Raw genomic sequence first — 19,604 nt, 5'->3', positions numbered from 1 at the left:
GTCCAAGCTCCATACAAGGTCATGGTGTCTGAAATACGTCTGGACATCCCTGATAGCCTAGCACATATCTACCCAAGAATAAACTATAAAAAATGGTTTGGTACTGCTTATTATACCATTTACCAGAATGAAAATGTTTGCATCTCTTAATCTGAGTACTAACATTAAAAATAGTCTCACTGGTCAAAAATATCAACAAAATCTTCAAAGAAAAATTGGATATCAACAATATCCAGAAATACATTATGAAATGTCACTCATAATGTATGCAAGAGAAGAGAAGAGGAGAGGAAAGGAGGTAAAAGGGAAGGAGAGGAGAAGGAAGAAAATGAGAGAGGAAGAAAAGAAAAAGAGTGAGAAGGGCAGGGGGAAATAATGGGGTATTTTTTAAGTGTGGCATCAACATCAAGTTAAGTGAAAAGCAACGGGTATAACTATGGCAGCAAATCTACCAGATATTTTCAACAAGATATACACTACAAAATCATGGGTCATATTAGCATGCTATTAAGTTGACAGAAACATCTCATCTTGAAGGGCCGTCACTCAATTTGATTCTATATTTTTAGAAAATAACCATTTTATATTCCCTATTACAGGGCCTGCTACATACAAGAAATAAATGCTTGTTGAAAGATCAACTAGATGAATAGATGGCTGAGTGAAAACAAACAAATGGATAGAAGGAAAAATGACAAATACTCAAAATAAGAAAGTTTTCAAATATTCTACAATGGAGAGGATTTCCCACTTCTCCATCTTAAAATGCTAATCTAATTAGGAGGAACATGTGAGAAGTAGCATAGCACAATACGAAGAAAATATGATTTAGGCTCAGAAAGACCTAGATTAAAATCGTAGCTCAACTTTCACTAGTTTGTGTCCTTGAGCAAATTGCTTAATTTATGTAAGTCTTAGTTTTCTCCACCTATAAAACAGGGATCACAATATCTACCTTACAAAGACATCAAACCAGTACTTTTGGCACCTGGAACAAACTACACAAAACCAGCTCTCAAATCGACTCTGTAATTCATGATGTAGCCCACAGATGGGTGTTACTAACAATGCTCGCCATCTGGTAGCTTCCTGTTTTAAATAATTATTCTTGCTAACTAGGTGCCAAGCTTTTAGAATCATTATATTAAATGTTTGCACCCTCTAAATTTTGGTGTCCTTAGACAAAGTCCAGTATGGCCAGTCATAGTTCAACTTATAGGGTTCCTTTGAAGATTAAAAATAATGTAAGAAAAATACCTTGTACAGTGACAGGCATGTAATAAATTACTTAAACATTTTATTGATACCTTTATGTAATCCATTTACCACTCTATATTACCACAACCACTCCAATAAGCCCACACATAGATTAATCATATCCGCCACTTTCAGTAATATATAAACAAGATGGACAGGAAAGTGTGATATATATATTGCAACATCCTTTTCAAAAATTCAAGTTGATTCCTTCAACTCTGACTTTTGGATTTTCTCTCTTAAATCCATAAAGACCTGAGAATTTAGAAGAGTAGACAGTCCTTTCATTCCAAGAACCATTTCTAAGAGGGAGTAAGTGAAGTGTCAGGTTCAAAGAGAATTCAAAGTTACCACTATCAGGGTATACTTATTCTCTGCCGGATGGGCAAAGAGAGCTGTTGCTATTGTGTTTTGCATGTGGTCTCAGCTGTGCAAATACCAGTTAAATAAGAAAAACATCAAGCCATCTTTATCAGACCTACTAACAACCCAGATAAACTTCTTTAGGATGAATAGTTTAGTAACAAAATAACAAAATTTGCCAACCCACAAGAATCTTTGTATAAAGCATTACTTAGCTCTGAAAGATTATTTTCTCTGTATTATCAGATATCCAGAAATACTTATTTTATTATAAGGCATGCCAATCCATGCCAATAAAGGTCACAAGAACAAATGTTATGAAGAGTTCAATTTAAATGATTCATACGTTTTACTGGCTATAGAGATATTTCACTAACAGTTTTGTTACCCCAGAACAAACTTTACCCAAGGAAACATCTCTTCTGAAAATAAAGGTCAAATCAAGCTCATAACTAGAGCCCCCAGTTTCCCCAGAAATTGAAGGACAATGTCCATATGTCTGTTAGGTGGTGACTAGTATGCTAGTACAGAATCCATGGACTGGAAGCACTGTCCTGATCTTACATTTGACACAGGGTCAAATGTGTAACCAGGAGGACTGAAACAAAGGTTCTTTTATATACTGGTTAAAAATTAGAATTCTATGATTGTGGTTCCCATAGTTTGTCTGAATAAAAATTGATCACATTATGAATAAACAATAAAAGACTAAAATCAATTTAGTCAGTTATTAACTTCTGGAATTGTGGCATATTAATAACAGAAACCAATCCAGAGCAGGAATGGATATTGTGCTTTCAAAAAGACAAACATGCATTAAATAGGAGATACATGGTTAAATGGTAATGTTCCTTAAGATAGCAGTCTAGTAGGTTTGGTATCAAGTTCTAGTGGAGAAATAATTCACCACCATAATCAGCAAAGTAACTAACCAAATGACACATTATTTGTTATTTTCTGACATGCATCTATAATTCTCATTTTGAAGCACAGATTTTTATTTTTCTGGTGCCATCAAGTGGTAACATTATGAAATGTTCTAAGATTAAATGCAAATAACTTAAAAAATGTCACACTGACCACACTGATGTGTTTTATTTGTGTCAATTAAACACCAGTGATGTTTTAGCACATAATTCTCTGAAAACAAATGGAAAAAATGTCAGAGCAGATTTTTTTATAACTCATACCCATTTTAAACTCCCAACCCAAAATGAGAGTTAAGGCAAAGAATAAAAATGAATAGATATTTAAGACCAGAATGCTCCACTAGCAAACAAAAAACCCAACAGATGGCCTGGTGCAGTGGCTCACGCCTGTAATCCCAGCACTGTGGGAGGCCAAGGCAGACAGATCACCTGAGGTCAGTAGTTCGAGACCAGCCTGGCAAACATGGTGAAACCCCGTTTCTGCTAAAAATACAAAAATTAGTTCGGCATGGTGGCACACACCTATAGTCCCAGCTACTAGGGAGGCTGAGGCAGGAGAATCACTTGAACCCCGGAGGCAAAGGTTGCAGCGAGCTGAGATCATACCACTGCCCTCCAGCCTGGGTGACAGAATGAAACTCTATCTCAAAAAAAAAAAACCTAACATTATAAAACCATTTGAAAAATAAAATTAGGGTGAAAATGATCTTTCCATCAAAGCAAGAAAACAAGTAACTTCAAAATTAGGTATCAATTAGAAACCTTAAAAGTGATAGCTAATATTAATCATATCAAGATGACAAAATTAATGAGAAATGAATTTAGAATCAATTATTTGAAACTGTGTTAACAGGTTCCAAATGGTTATATAAGCAACTTTAGTAAGACAATAACTAATGAAAAAAGAAACAAGACTCCATCTCCTCTTATTGCTATACACACAAAACATTAATCGCTGTTTGATCCTCAGGCCCACCGAAATTAAGTATCAATTGTGAAATCTGAATTCCCAGTTGAAGATGGCAAACTGAACACATTTCTTTAGCTATTCTCCCTCCAGAAACTCTATTAACATGGCAGTCAAAAATTTCTTTAAGACAAAACCCCACAAGAATAAAGAAACTGAGAAGGTAACAGCAACAAAATTTTAGAATATAAAAGCTGCCATGGAATATAATTTAAAAAAAAAAAGGTAGATGGATGAGAAGTTACTAAAAGGGAATCAAGAAAGTTGCCTGATTTACATGGCATGGTAAAACTCTCCAAAAATTCAGGAATTGGTGGCATTAGGAAATGGGAGTGAAACCTAAAAACAAGAGAAATGGTCAAAATCCTGGTTAAGAAGCAGTTAGGACCCTCCATATACAGACAGGTACACCATTTTATAAAACTGAAAGTTTATACTCCAGAAATAACAAAAGGCTTCTGGACTACAGGATACTAGGCATAGTGAGAAGTACTGTAGTAAAAAGTGTTAGTAATACAGGAGACTGGTAATCTGAATGGTACCGACAAACCCAAGACCACAGAACAATGAAAATGATGATCTTCTGTAAATGAAACCACTGGAAGAATGTCAATATCAATCTTTGATTACTGCATCCAAAAAGTCATGCAACTAAATGCAGAATGCTTCATTCTGCTTTTATAAGGAAAAATTTAAGGGTTAAAACAATAGCTGATACTTCAAAAAAGTAAGTTCTATATACAGACATTCAGTTACAGTCAGCTCTACATGTCCCACATCACCTCCATTAATTAAATGAGAATTTACTACAACTACAAAGAACAGAATAGTCGGCAAACCCAAGAATCTTTTATGCTCTTAGTTTAAAAATCCATTTCATTTTGTCTCTTCAGGTCATCAAGAATCTCTGTGAATTACTCCTGAGAGAGATGAAGGCCGGTAAAACACTGCCTTTTCAAATCAGAAAAGAAAGATTATTATTCATACAAGAGACTTCAAGACATGCTGACTTTTTTTTAAATCCTGTTTTTGTGGATTAATTGATTAAAAGTAGAGGGTTAAGTACCTCCGATAATGTCTAACATCTCAAGGAACTTAAAGTATATATCCATATATAGGTCTTTTAAGCTTCAGTAATTTCTCATTTTCAGTATTATTTCCATAAGACTATACAGAAGATATATGTATGTACTTTTTTTTCCCACATACCAACAAAAGAGCATGCCAAAACATAATATACATAAAACCATACCTTGAACACCTTCTAGGAGTAAATCAACTCCCTTCCTATAAAAATCAGAAGCAGCTTCATAGTCGTCTTCTTCTTCCTTTTTTAAAGCCAGCTTTATTAATTCTCCTGCTTTCTCCAAATAATCTCTCTTGCCAAGCTTCGGCTTTAAACTGCCAGGAAAGAGGCTACGACTTTCCCGTTCTTCTTCTGTTTTGCTCTGTTCACTGTCAGAAGCAACAGCCCCTAGTGCTGAAGAATCCGAAGAAAGATTGAGACCAAAAGTTCTAATGGGAGAATTTTGATTGGAAGCCATTCCATCATCTAACTCAGCAAGAGAATCCACATCAACAGTAAGAGATACCAGATCACTGTCACTGGAGAAGCCTAGAAATATGATCACAATAGTAAACAGATATTAAATTGAGAATCAGCCAAACGAATACAAATCATGCTAATTATTCATTTTTCATATTATCCAAGTCAATTTGGAAGGCTGTAATTTACTGATGGAAGTCAGTGTCTAGCAATTTGTTTAGGCTTAGTCCATTCATTTTACTGTCTCTCTGTAACTCTGGAAGACAACTTCTTGCCTTAATCATCAAACTAAAATTGAAGACAAATCTTTATCTAGTTTGGTTGCCAAAAAGAGCCTTTACCACAAGATCCTGTAAGCTATTTACAGAAAGCTGTTGCCTGTACACATAGTTGCTATAAATAATAGCATTTTAATAAAGGAAAAAGCACTTGAATCTCAGCTCTCTTTTTTTTGTTTTGTTTTTGTTTTTGAGAACAGCATCTTGCCATGTTGCCCAGCTGCACTCCAACTCGTGGGCTCAAGCAATCCTCCCACTTCAGCCTCCCGAGTAGCTTAGATGGCATGAGCCACCAAGCCCAGCGCCAGCTCTTAAAACTTACTGTGTGACCAACAGCAGGTTACTTAATAGTATTACTTATTATGCAAGTCTTTAAATGAGGAATAGAGTTAATGCATATAAAGCATAATAGACTATCATTATATTATAACTTTTATAACAATTACATAAACAGGTTGAATATCCTTCATCTGAAATGCTCGGGACAGAAGTGTTTCAGATTTCAGATTTTCAGATTAGGGATACTCAACCTGTAACTATATAACAACTACACAATGCGTCCTCAGAAGTGTGCTTTTAGGTAACCATCCGTAACTGGAAAATGTATGCTATTTAGCATTTTTTAAAAACTGAATTTTTAGACATTTTCATCTCAGCCTCTTCTACAAGCTTCTGGAAAGGTATATTTCCACCTTAGTTTTCAGACAAAAAAGAGGTAATAGGTGCTACTGAATTATTTAGCAGTGAAAATTCCTTCTCCTAGTTCATATAACTGACATCATGGTAAATGAGCACGATCCACAATACATATCAGACTTTCTGCTCCCAGGACAGCCTTTTATATTCTTCAAAATGATTGTGGACTCTAAAAAGCTTTTGTTCATGTGAATTGTATCTGTGAATATTTATTAAATACCAATATTGATATTTACAAAAGAAGTCTAGAAATGTATAAAATAAAGCATTAAAGCCCCATTACATGTTAACATAATTTTTATGAAAAATAACTATATTTTCCAAAACAAAAAAAGTTAGTGAAAGAAGTGGCATTGTTTTACATTTTTGCACTGTTTTACATTGTTTTACATTTTTGTTAATGTCTGGATTAACAGCAGATAGCTAGAATCTCATATCTGATTCTGCTCACAATCTGTTGTCATATGTTGTTTTGGATGAAAGATATGAAGGAAATGTCACATAGATAATGTAACTGAAAAAGAAACAAGTATTAGCCTTTTCAAATAATTATGAATATTGTTCTTTGATACTACACCAAAACTCAACAAGTGATAGGTTTTTAAAGCTTAGTTGTAATGTGGAATATAAAATCCTATGAATGAAATTTCTGTTTCTGTTACATTCAAATCCATTGGTCTGTCTTGCACACTGAATGGATCTTTTATCTGTGCATGAATTTATAACATCACACATTGGTCATCCTGAAAATACTGGTTCCCTTAGTTATAAAGATCTTCGAAATGTTGACAGCACATTTCATTATCCCAAAAAATCATATGTCAACATTTCATTATCTACCAATCTCATCAGAAAACTAAGTATTGGGAAACTGTCAAACCCAAAGTGGCAGACAGAGGTTATCTGAAAATCCTAATTTTGAATTGAAAACTCCAATTTTATGATTGGCAACAAATAATATCAGTTGTTTTCCTTGAAGTGTCAGCTTACTTCACTCCCTTTCAAGAAAAAAAGTGCCAAATACACAAGTCTGAATAATGACAGTTTGTTAATTGTTCTTTCAAGCAAAATGGTGTCCCATGAAAAAAGCAGCTAGTTCAGCTAATGGCTCAAACAACTGCATAAGTGCTTTTCCTCAAGACGACCATGGTAGTTCAGTATGCAGAGTGCTTTATGTATAATTCTCATTTTTTCACACAGCATATTAAAAAGACAAGTGACAAGGGTTAAGATTTAACAAAATGTAACAGTTTCTACTACTTAGGAAAAATTAGCATTGGTTTTATAAGTATGTGCAATGAGTACTGTTACGGTTTGGTGACACTGCCTTGATTCATGCCCAAGCACAGCAGTTTCACCTACCATGGCTTTTGCATCATCAGGGCAAATGTCAATATGGTGAAAAGACAAAGAATGTCCTGGCATTATTATCAAAACAGTTTTGCTTTATGAACTCCCTGAAAATATCTCAGAAACACCCAGAGATCTGAAGATTACATTTGAGAGCCAGTGATCTATACCATTAAATAAGACTGACAACAGAGTTATATAAAAACTAGTTTGGAAATAACTGAGATCTGCATTCACCACTGAACATTATCTGCCAAGTTTCTCAGGAAAAAAAAATTAAAAAGAAAATGATATCCTCAGGATTATATACTAAATCAAAATTAAAAGTGGATTAGACTATACAATTCTAGATCAGGGATCAGCAAGCTTTTTCTATAAAGGGCCAGAAAGTAAATATTTTAGGCTTTGCAGGCCATATGTGGTCTCTGTCACCACTCAACACTGCCATTGTAGTGCAAAAGCAGCCATAGACAATATATAAATGAATAAGCATGGCTGTGTTCCAGTAAAACTTTATTTACAGACATTGAAGTGTGAATTCCTTATAATTTTCCCATCACAAAACCACAAAATCATATTCTTTTAATTTTTTTAACTATTTAAAAATGCAAAAACCATTCTTAGTTTTCAGGCCATACAAAAACAGGTGGCAGGCCAGATTCAGCCCATAGAACATAGTTTTGCCAACCCCTATTTTAAATTCAAATTGCCTACTTCATATCAAATAAAGTAAGTTAGGGTAAAAACATGTTACTGGCCACTAAGCTCAAATTTCTAATCAGCTTTAGATGCTGCTTTGGCACCCTGTCAATATATATCCTCATTTTCAACTTTTTTTCAACTTCTTAGAATGCCCCAAAAGAACAAATTCTATTCCCAAAAAGCAACAGATTTCATTAAACCGACAATCTCAAATGAGATTCATTGAGCCTAGTGAAAATCTTTTCAGTCCTCTGACATTTCAGCCATACGGACAGTAACAGTACTTCATAATAAGAATCTTTTATAGCAATCTACAGTTATTTATCTACTATCCTAAGAAATATATATAAATTTTATGAGATTTTTCTTGTCATTTTAAATATTTTATGTATTTCAATGTAAACTTATTTCCTTAAATGATGCCAATATATAATCTAGCCCATTGAAACTGATAAACAAATAGATAAGGTTGAAAAAAGTTCTGGTTTATATAGCTAATCACAAAAGAAAGGAAATGCTGTATTAGAGATCTCTTTTGTCTGTTCTCTGGTATCTTGTCACTATAACCTTCACACCATCTATCACATTGTTCTGTTTCATGTTTTGCCCCATTTTTCCTTTTAACAATAACAATAACACCAAAGGGCAAGCGGGCAAAGTTATGTATACTCTGTTTCTTGGCTTTTGACCACAAAAAACTGGTACCATAGTCATATTTCCTCTTACCTTTCAAATCATATTTTATTAGCAATGAGAATCATGATTAAATGAGATTAGATCAAAAAAGTAAGACCATTAAAATACCTAGAGAGAAAGATAGTAAGATTAAGTAAATAAACATTCTATACAAAGCATTCCTTTTCAAATTCTAAATAATTTCTTAATTCGGCATCTTTAAAAGCAAGCAAACACACACACACACACACACACACACACACACACAAGCAGATAAAAAAGAGAAATTTATATAGCCAAACCAGAAGAAGCAAAGAGAAATAAAAAGACATCTACTTTAACCTTTTTAGAGGACAATTTGCCAATGCATATCAAAAGCGCAAAATTGCTTCTTTCACCCAGAAATTCAGCAATTTATACCAAAACCTATCAGAGGTGTACAAAAAAGATCTACATACAAGAATGTCCATCTGTCCATCACAAAAATTAGTAAAAATGTGGCAATAACAAATTCCTAATAATAGATTATGATATCTCCTTATGATAAAATATTATACAGCTATTAAAATCATTTTATAGAATATTTAATGCTAAAGTGTCTTATATTATGCAAAAACAACAAACTACAAATGAGTATGTATACTTAATTCTACTTTAAAAACAAACACACACAGAAAAAAGGCTAGAAACATACACTATTAACAGTGATTTTCTGTGTATGGTAAGATTATAGGTAATTCTATAATATAGAATTTAATAATATACTTTGTGTATGGTAAGCCCTTAAGTTCAGTATCTGAAAGATATCAAAAGAGATGCATCAAGGGCCAATATTGGGAATTTATCTGAGTAAAAGAAAGTTATACAGGCATCATTTGTGAAATATAAACCTCTATGGATCAACCAGCAGCTAGCGTCAAGAATTCCAAACTTAAAAAAGGAGTTAGACACAAGTACAAAGGCAGATCTGTTTAAAGCAGGCAAACCCCTGACACCTCTTCCTTGCCCACCTTATTCCTTTAATTATCCTCTTGAAGTTGCATCTTACCATGCCTGAAAAGCCTAACCCTACCATATCTCCTCGACCACACAATGCAACCAATCATCTTCTAGTACTCACTGATATCTTTCTCTTCCATATTTAAGCAGTTTCTAAATTCCCTTCTTCTCAATGACGTATTCTCCGGCCAGCTCGAGGAAGATAACATTTAAAAACTCCTTTCACCACCACAGCAATGAATCTTATTTATAAACATATTATATGTAAATATTCAATGCCTAGTTTATTTATATTATATACTTAACACATCTGCTTAATACAGTGCTTGTTCAACTCCTAGAAATCACACTACAATTCAACTTATTTCATACAAAACTATATATAAATATCATACGAAACGCAAACTAGCTCCCTGAAGCCCAGAAAGAAAGTTAACAAGAAAGATATAGGGAGCAACAAGCAAGTGACAGGTTCTCAGTCTAGGTAGGAAGGACATTGTGGATAAGGCAGGGCAATCACTGACATTTGACATAATACAGAGACTATTTGTCAAAAGTTAAACCAACCTGAAGTCAACCCCATACTTAAAGAGGCCCTCTGGGCCATCGCAAGAGTAAAAGGTGCATCCTTCACCAACACCATCAAGGCAAAAACCTAAGCTTTTTTTGGAAGTGATACAAGGGGAAAAAGTCAAAGGTTCTATGAAAGCGTTCTGCCTCCAGGTTCGTATCACAGAAATTCAAGTCTCAGGGCTATTAGAGGGCCCCAGGTGACTTGTTAAAAAGCAGCTACAGACATAGGCGTTTATTTAGCATCCCAGTTCACCTACCTACCCTTACCTCTGTGCTTTGAACTGCTCAGAGTAGGGCAGTATAGTGAAATCTGTCTAGGACACCATCTCTGAAAGACAGGCCCCAGGGGAACAGGTTGAGTTGCCATAGAATAAATCTTTATACTATAAACTATCAGAAATCTGTATTTGAAGACCATCTGTAAAAAGAGATCGGTTTCCTTTAGAACAACAGGTGGTCTCTCATGGGTGACTATATATAAAATACATGGCCTCATTATTATTAGCTGATAGCTTTCACTGAGCCCTGAGGTTCAAATATTGCCATAGTCAACAAAAAGGAATTTCTATTTTTCCTAGTAGCAATGACTCATGCGCCATGCACAAAGCAAGTTATCTAGCCAGTAGAACAAAGGTTACCCTAAGGTAGAAGACATACATACCAGTTTCCATTAAGAAAGAAGCCCTTATAAATATGATTTTAAGTGAATACCTAAATCCAAAGCTTAATGCTAGTTAAGATTCCTGTATGTGATTCCCTATTCATCATTTAGTAATAGCTATTGTTACAAAAAAGAACCTTTCCTTTGAAGTTTCACATTTTTATAACGTTCTTGGGTCATGTCTATTATGCTTCATCCTTGAAAATGTACAAAAAGAGCCTCAGAATACCTCGTACAGATTTGGTAAAACAACAAAATAAGCCCAGAAAACAACACAGCAATCTTAATTACAACCCTAATACTGCTATCTTATCATAATAAAGATCCATCACTTGGCTTCATTTTTTGCCAAATGAACTTTATACTCTGCTACTCTCCATAACTTTCTCTAGCCTCCAGGACATCAAGCCCATTACCAGTATGCAAGTAGCTCATGCTGAGTTTTCTATACCAAATATGTCTTCTCCCCGCCTCCCCTCCATAAAATGAAATCTCTTCATTTCAAAATATAGTTCTGTGAGTGCTATCAAATACCTGGAGTATCTTCGGCACATGGCTAAACTTCTCTGAAATTCAAACTCTGTAATTGTGAAATAAGACATTTAAGTGTATCATTTATAATGATTCCCATGGCATACCATGAATTTTCTGTTATTTGTCCCACCCAACCCCTAAACTCCTAATATCCAATATTATCCTCAATAGCCCTAGAATTTGTAAGAGTCAATATTTATCATCAGTGTCATGTGTATCATTTACACACACTGGTACATTCTCATTTGTGGCTATCTTGGGGGGAAAAAATGACCTGTTGTTTTTGTCAAGCTCCACTACCAAGGAAAATTCAACTGGGGGCAGGGAATAAAAATAAGTTGGGTAAATAAGCACATAACAGAAAAAAGAATCTCTTCAAGCTGAGTATGCAAGAGATATTCTAACATACATAACACCAAAGGGCCTAGAAAAATACCAGTAACAAGATTTAGAGTTCTTATGGTGCCACCTAGTGGACATTTGCACTTAATTTTACTTTAAATTACTTGCACTTTCTATAAATTTACATTTAAATTAATATTTAATACTTTCTGTATTTTGTCATCTCACACTATATTATGTAGTAAATAGACTTTAAGTTTGTCTTGAAAATAGATTTAGGTTATTAAGTAACCAATCATGTGACAAATATTCCTATTTAAAATGATCTTGCCTCAAAGTGTCAAGTTTAAATCTATTAAATGAAAATAACACAAATAATAAGACAAAATAAATGGTATTTCGATACAGATTTTTTTCAAACTTAAATAACTATACACCTTTCCAATTAGACCAACCAGTGCTTTAAATATAATCAACGCCATTCAATTTAACACAGTTTAATCACAATCTTCATGTCTGTCTACACACCGTAAAGAATTATTAGGTGGCTGTAACCACAAAGACAAATTGAGTGATCAGCTTATTGCATGTAGCAGATCTTAAGAATTAATATTCTTAAATGTCTCCTGGAATAACAAAATCTACCCCCACCTGCCATCAAATAAACATACAAATCTTGACCTTAATGTCATTTAAGGGATCCGTTACAAAGACGAGCAATAGATGCTATCCTCAAAATGCACATTTCATTTACTTTAAAATAGTTAATTCAAGACAGTTTAATAGATCCTTTCGTGTCTCTACAATAGTTACAATAAGCACTTGAGGAGTTCTTAATTCACAATTTCCAGCCAAAAAAAGGTGGGGGTAGATTTTGTTATTCCAGAAGACATTTAAGCATATTCATTCTTAAGATATGCTACATACAATAAGCTGATCATTCAATTTTTCTTTGTGGTTACAATTACCTAATTATTTTCTCTCATTTGCTGCATGAACCAGAAAAAATGTCCCTCCCCAAACTGAAAAGTGATGTATTAGGAAGAGGAAATGACACAGGTTACCAGATGAGACTATACCAACATCCAAGTCTCTGATATCAAGGCCAGCATGGCACCAAAGCAATCTACACCCTTCAAAAAGGCCAACAGGTGAGAGAAATATGTCAAGGAGCTCAACTGATATGCACCGATTTGGGCAGGTTTCTACAAATGTCCTAGTAACTTCACGGCTAAATTTAATTCAAGGAAAAGACATAAGTTGAAATAGACATAATAGAAATAAGATGTTAGCAACCAATTACATCTTCTTTCATCTTTGAAAAAATATAGTTTAACTTCTTTGAACAAAGGAGATAAAGAGTAACCAGGATTTCATTTTTAAAATGTAAAACAATATTTTGTTTAAAAACCTACCAAATAATTTCTTAATTTTCAATTTCATATTAAACAAACTATATTTACCAGTTTATCACCAAATTATTTTTTACAAAACCTTAAAGGGGTTTCTCTATCCCATGCTACTACAAAGTAACTGTAATTTTAAAAAACAGGCCAAGCACAGTGGCTCACACCCATAATGCGAGCACTTTGGGAGGCCAAGGCCAGGAGAATCACTTGCGTCTAAGAGTTCGAGAGCTGCCTGGGCAGCACAGTGAGACCCCATTTCTACAAAAAATTTAAAAAGAAAAATTAGCCAGGCATGGTTGTGCCTGCCTGTAGTCCCAGCTACTCAGGAGGCTGAGGAAGGAGAATCACTTGAGCCCAGGACATGAAGGCTGCACTAAGCCTGGGTAACACGGTGAGACCCTATCACAAAACAAATAAACAGACACCCAGATCGTCATGTTTTCCTCAGAAAACTTTCATTTCAAAGTATATTAGGATCTGTTGACTGCATTTTAAGATATTAACAAAAATAATGATCACTTCACCTCTACCTCTGTTCTCTGAGAAGTGATCAACTTGCCATGTCACTCTAACTGTAACTAAAGAACATTGAAACAGCAGACTATATATTAAGATTTACCCCCTCTGCCTCACTCCACCAGCTAGCTAATTCACAAATATGAAAAATGACAATCCACCTTTAAAACATGGCTTAAAATAGTACATTTAGAGAAGTTTTCATGGGGTGAATCACTTCCTCACATTTTAGCTCTAAATCCAAAACACAAGCATTTGTCACCACGATCCCTCTAACAACCCTCCATTTCACTGCGTACCTGTGGGGCTTGGCTGGCTGCTGGCTTTCCTGCTCTTTTGCTACTAGATGTTCCTCTCCCTGGTTGTCTCCAGAGTTTGCAGACCTTTTGGTATGAAGTAAATCTTCCACTTTCCCACTATGCCAAACAATCTTACGATATTTAAAAGCCATTTTCCCTCTCAAATAACAATGAATTTGCAAGCTGTCTGACACTTTGATCTATCTGTATTTATCAACCTAATATCTTTCAGCAGGATTAATTTGCCAGGCATGCAACTTTTAAAGGGAGGGGAGAAAAACAACATAACCATTAACAGCATTTCCAGTTCCATGGTTTTCATTCTTCATGGATCACAGTGTGTTTCAGAGATGGTAACATAGTTGAAAAACTAAACCGCACTGACAGGATAAAATGTCAATATTCCTTTTAGATGTCATAAGTCATTTTCCGTGTTTTTGACAGAAATGTTAGCCCCAATTTCTCTCATAAAAGCACATTCCTAAAAGATAAATCCTTCCAAAGAAAACACATCTTTTTGAAACTTCAGAGGTAAACTCTGAAACAACTGCTTTAGGAAGGGTCACCCTTACAGCTCAGTTTGCCTGAGGCTGTCCTGTGTCATGTTTGTGGTCTTGGTATAATTATTAATAGCACTGTCTATAATTCTCAGAAGTGTCCCAGTTTGGAGAATAAACTACATGCTCACCCTAGCTTTAGGTTGTGTCTCCTTTAGCATTAATACAGCCATCTGTTCACCTTGAACAGCATCAGTATTTTAGAATACCATCCCAAGAAACCTCATTCCTAATAATCATGCTTCTCCCTTTCTGGCCTAGACTACAGCAAAGAACAGAAAGATCTCTGCAGAGCTTGCATCCATGATTGCCTTATACTAAAATAGGCTCCTAAGATACCGTTCTTTCACCATGGTTGACTCCCACCTAGTAACAGAAGCTTATTATAGATATCAGAAGAATATAACTACTCCCATATCACAGAACCTTTGATTCTTGTATCAAAAAAATAGAGAAAAGAAACATTCTGCATTTCTGACTATTGCACTCCTCATTGAATACTCTCATATATATATATATATATATATATATATATATATATATATATATATATATATATATATATATATATATATATATGCCCAGGCTGGAGTGCAGTGGCGTGATCTTGGCTCACTGCAACCTCCACCCCCATGGTTCAGGCAATTCTCATGCCTCAGCCTCCCAAGTAGCTGGGATTACAGGCACCAGCCACCTTGTCTGGCTAATTTTTGTGTTTTTAGTAGAGACAGGGTTTCACCATATTGGCCAGGCTGGTCTCAAATTCCTGACCTCAAGTGATCCGCCTGCCTTGGCCTCCCAAAAGTGCTAGGATTACAAGCGTGAGCCACCATGCCCAGCCTCTCCTACAAATATTTCTAACTCTCCTACTTGTTCTCACAGAATCAGTATGGAATCAGGTGGAAAATGTGCACTCCTCTTTCTCAGGAGTAGGGAAACTGAGGCAACAGCCAGCTTAGGTTATACAGAAAAGTCACCTTCCGAGGAAACTGGTTCTATTAGAATCACATTGGGATCCCAAGCAGGGACTAGATTTTCCAAACCTTCGCAAGGATCTCTGATTAAAATAGGTCACAAAGAACAGATATTTTACCACCACCGCCCCCGACACACACACAAAAAAAATAATAGATTATAAAGTAAAATTACTGTCAACAATGTTTTTCTATGACCCTGGCAGAATCAGGGTGGAGTCAAAGATACTGAGAACTCAGTGAAGACCCCTGGGCATGTGGCCCCCATGCATTACACAGAACACTAAGTTTAAATAAATAGATGCTAAGTCAATGGAAAGTACAATGAAAAAGAATAAAAGCTAACCACTTCTCAATACGGTAGTACCAAAAGAAAAAAAAAACTTAAGTGCACCAGCCCACATAATAAATAAGAACACGTTGCTCTTACCAAATCACGATGGAAATTTACTGCAAGAGATTTATGTTAGTGTGGCTGCTGCTGTATGACAGGAGTACATACCCTCACAAAAACAACACTACAATGAGATGATGGCTACCTCATCCTCATAAAGCATCCTCCTCCACCATAAACTCTTACTCATGAAAGAGATAAGCAATATTATTTAGTTTATTATTTTACCTTTAATAAACCAAACCTAAGCCACCTAAAACAAATCTAATTATCTATTTTGATTTTAAAAATCCCTCCTACCCCTGCCCCCAAATCTTTTTTTTTCCGTAACCTTCCCTGAAAAAAAACTAGTTACAGAAATCCAAAGGCTGAAATGTATAAATTCAAGTGTACCTTAATAGAAGAATAAAACAAGAGATTAAGCATTCTTGAATGAAAGTGATTAAAACTTGATTTAGACTCATTTTATTTAAAAACATATCAAAAACATTAAAACTGCCTTAGGGTTTATTCTTTGTGGCTAAATGACTAAATCTCTAAAGCCAGTCTTGAAATTAGTTCTCTAAAAGTCAGATGCGCTAAAGAAATGAGTAAGGCTTTTTTTTTTTTTTTTTTGAGACAAAGTCTTGCTTTGTTGTCCAGGCTAGAGTGCAGTGGCACAGTCTCAGCTCACTGCAAACTCCACCTCCCAGGTTCAAGCGATTCTTGTGCCTCAGCCTCCCTAGTAGCTAGGATTACAAATGCCTGCCACCACACCCAGCTAATTTTTCTGTTTTAGTAGAGACAGGGTTTCACCACGTTGGCTCGGCTGGTCTCAAACTCCTGACCTCAGGTGATTCACCCACCTCAGCCTCCCAAAGTGCAGGGATTACAGGCATGAGCCACCATGCCTGGCCAAGTAAGGCCTTCTTACACTAGACAATACAAATTCTGAACTACTCATTATACCATATTTCATCAATTCTAAGATACCATTAATTGGAGGATGAATCATTATTTTATATACCACTATGAAAAAAAAAAGCTGCCAATTAAATATGAGATATGCCTGACCCAATATCATGCACCCAACATCAGTGATAATAAAATGTAAAGAAAAAAAGCATCTTAGAATCAGTGAAATACCCTCAAATTCCTATATACATCTGTCTTTTTGCAATGCAGATATGATTTATAGTCTTCTGTAATCCAAACCTTTGAAATGCAAAAAAATTAAAATCTCTTACCTTCCGTACTACACTCAGGAAAGGTATCAATGAGGGAATCTGAGTGAGCTTCAGCAGGACCAATTAATTCAGAACTATCATTAATTATTCCACCCTAAAGAGATAAGAGCAATTGTGTTTCATTAGCATTAAGAGCATAAACAACACTAAATAAAAAATAGTTATCCCAATTAAGTATGTGTAAAGATGTACAGAAACGACTATACTAATCTATTAAACTAGATGACAAGTGTTTTCAAAAAAAAACAATAGGTATATCTCATCGACTGTAACAAACGTACTACACCAACCCAAGATATTTAATGGCAGAAACTGGGGGCTGGGGAGGAAGAAGAGATATATGAGAAAACTCTGTACTTTCTGCACAATTTTTCTATAAACCTAAACTGCCCTAGAAATAGACTATTATTTTAAAATTCAAAAAATGTTAAGAGCAGCCAGAGAGAAAGGTCAGGTTACCCTCAAAAGGAAGCCCATCAGACTAACAGCAGATCTCTCTGCAGAAACTCTACAAGCCAGAAGAGAGTGGGGGCCAATATTCGACATTCTTAAAGAAAAGAATTTTCAACCCAGAATTTCATATCCAGCCAAACTAAGCTTCATAAGTGAAGGAGAAATAAAATACTTTACAGACAAGCAAATGCTGAGAGATTTTGTCACTACCAGGCCTGCCCTAAAAGAGCTCCTGAAGGAAGCGCTAAACATGGAAAGGAACAACTGGTACCAGCCACTGCAAAATCATGCCAAAATGTAAAGACCATCGAGACTAGGAAGAAACTGCATCGACTAACGAGCAAAATAACCAGCTAACATCATAATGACAGGATCAAATTCACACATAACAATATTAACTTTAAATGTAAATGGACTAAATGCTCCAATTAAAAGACACAGACTGGCAAATTGGATAAAGAGTCAAGACCCATCAGTGTGCTGTATTCAGGAAACCCATCTCACGTGCAGAGACACACATAGCTCAAAATAAAAGGATGGAGGAAGATCTACCAAGCAAATGGAAAACAAAAAAAGGCAGGGGTTGCAATCCTAGTCTCTGATAAAACAGACTTTAAACCAACAAAGACCAAAAGAGACAAAGAAGGCCATTACATAATGGTAAAGGGATCAATTCAACAAGAAGAGCTAACTATCCTAAATATATATGCACCCAATACAGGAGCACCCAGATTCATAAAGTAAGTCCTGAGTGACCTACAAAGAGACTTAGACTACCACACATTAATAATGGGAGACTTTAACACCCCACTGTCAACATTAGACAGATCAACGAGACAGAAAGTCAACAAGGATACCCAGGAATTGAACTCAGCTCTGCACCAAGCGGACCTAATAGATATCTACAGAACTCTCCACCCCAAATCAACAGAATATACATTTTTTTCAGCACCACACCACACCTATTACAAAATTGACCACATACTTGGAAGTAAAGCTCTCCTCAGCAAATGTAAAAGAACAGAAATTATAACAAAATATCTCTCAGACCACAGTGCAATCAAACTAGAACTCAGGATTAAGAAACTCACTCAAAACCACTCAACTACATGGAAACTGAACAACCTGCTCCTGAATGACTACTGCGTACATAACAAAATGAAGGCAGAAATAAAGATGCCTTTGAAACCAACAAGAACAAAGACACAACATACCAGAATCTCTGGGACACATTCAAAGCAGTGTGTAGAGGGAAATTTATAGCACTAAATGCCCACAAGAGAAAGCAGGAAAGATCCAAAATTGACACCCTAACATCACAATTAAAAGAACTAGAAAAGCAAGAGCAAACACATTCAAAAGCTAGTAGAAGGCAAGAAATAACTAAAATCAGAGCAGAACTGAAGGAAATAGAGATACAAAAAACCCTTCAAAAAATTAATGAATCCAGGAGCTGGTTTTTTGAAAGGATCAACAAAACTGATAGACAGCTAGCAAGACTAATAAAGAAAAAAAGAGAGAAGAATCAAATAGACGCAATAAAAAATGATAAAGGGGATATCACCACCGATCCCACAGAAATACAAACTACCATCAGAGAATACTACAGACACCTCTATGCAAATAAACTAGAAAATCTAGAAGAAATGGATAAATTCCTCGACACATACACTCTCCCAAGACTAAACCAGGAAGAAGTTGAATCTCTGAATAGACCAATAACAGGATCTGAAATTGTGGCAATAATCAATAGCTTACCAACCAAAAAGAGTCCAGGACCAGATGGATTCACAGCCGAATTCTACCAGAGGTACAAAGATGAGCTGGTACTATTCCTTCTGAAACTATTCCAATCAATAGAAAAAGAGGGAATCCTCCCTAACTCATTTTATGATGCCAGCATC

At 35.4% G+C, this 19,604-nt stretch overlaps 1 protein-coding gene across 46 annotated transcripts in view; it reads right to left on the bottom strand.

Moving 5' to 3' along the window:
* RPS6KC1 (ribosomal protein S6 kinase C1) overlaps positions 1-19,604 on the bottom strand; it is an 811,495-nt gene that overhangs the window by 728,078 nt on the left and 63,813 nt on the right. For 27 of the 46 annotated variants that reach the window (XR_007058661.1, XR_007058662.1, NR_146210.2 and 24 more), the window contains 2 exons: positions 17,248-17,341; positions 4,769-5,131 (listed from right to left, as the gene is read on the bottom strand). The exons of 3 other annotated variants lie outside the window; for them this stretch is intronic. Coding sequence is in view for 23 of the 43 variants with exons in the window: in XM_047417936.1 (XP_047273892.1) it covers positions 4,769-5,131; positions 17,248-17,341 (457 nt within the window). In the remaining 20 variants the exon portion in view is untranslated. Of the gene's footprint in view, positions 1-4,768; positions 5,132-8,814; positions 8,893-9,883; positions 10,005-17,247; positions 17,342-19,604 lie in introns of all 46 variants that reach the window. 16 more of the 46 variants (NM_001349660.2, NM_001349650.2, NM_001349669.2 and 13 more) reach the window with 5 other exon arrangements.

Source organism: Homo sapiens, chromosome 1 (genome assembly GCF_000001405.40).
Source record: "Homo sapiens chromosome 1, GRCh38.p14 Primary Assembly".
In the NCBI taxonomy this organism is placed as follows: domain Eukaryota; kingdom Metazoa; phylum Chordata; class Mammalia; order Primates; family Hominidae; genus Homo; species Homo sapiens.
Note: the sequence above shows the minus strand (reverse complement) of the source record. Positions and strands in the feature narration are given on the sequence as shown.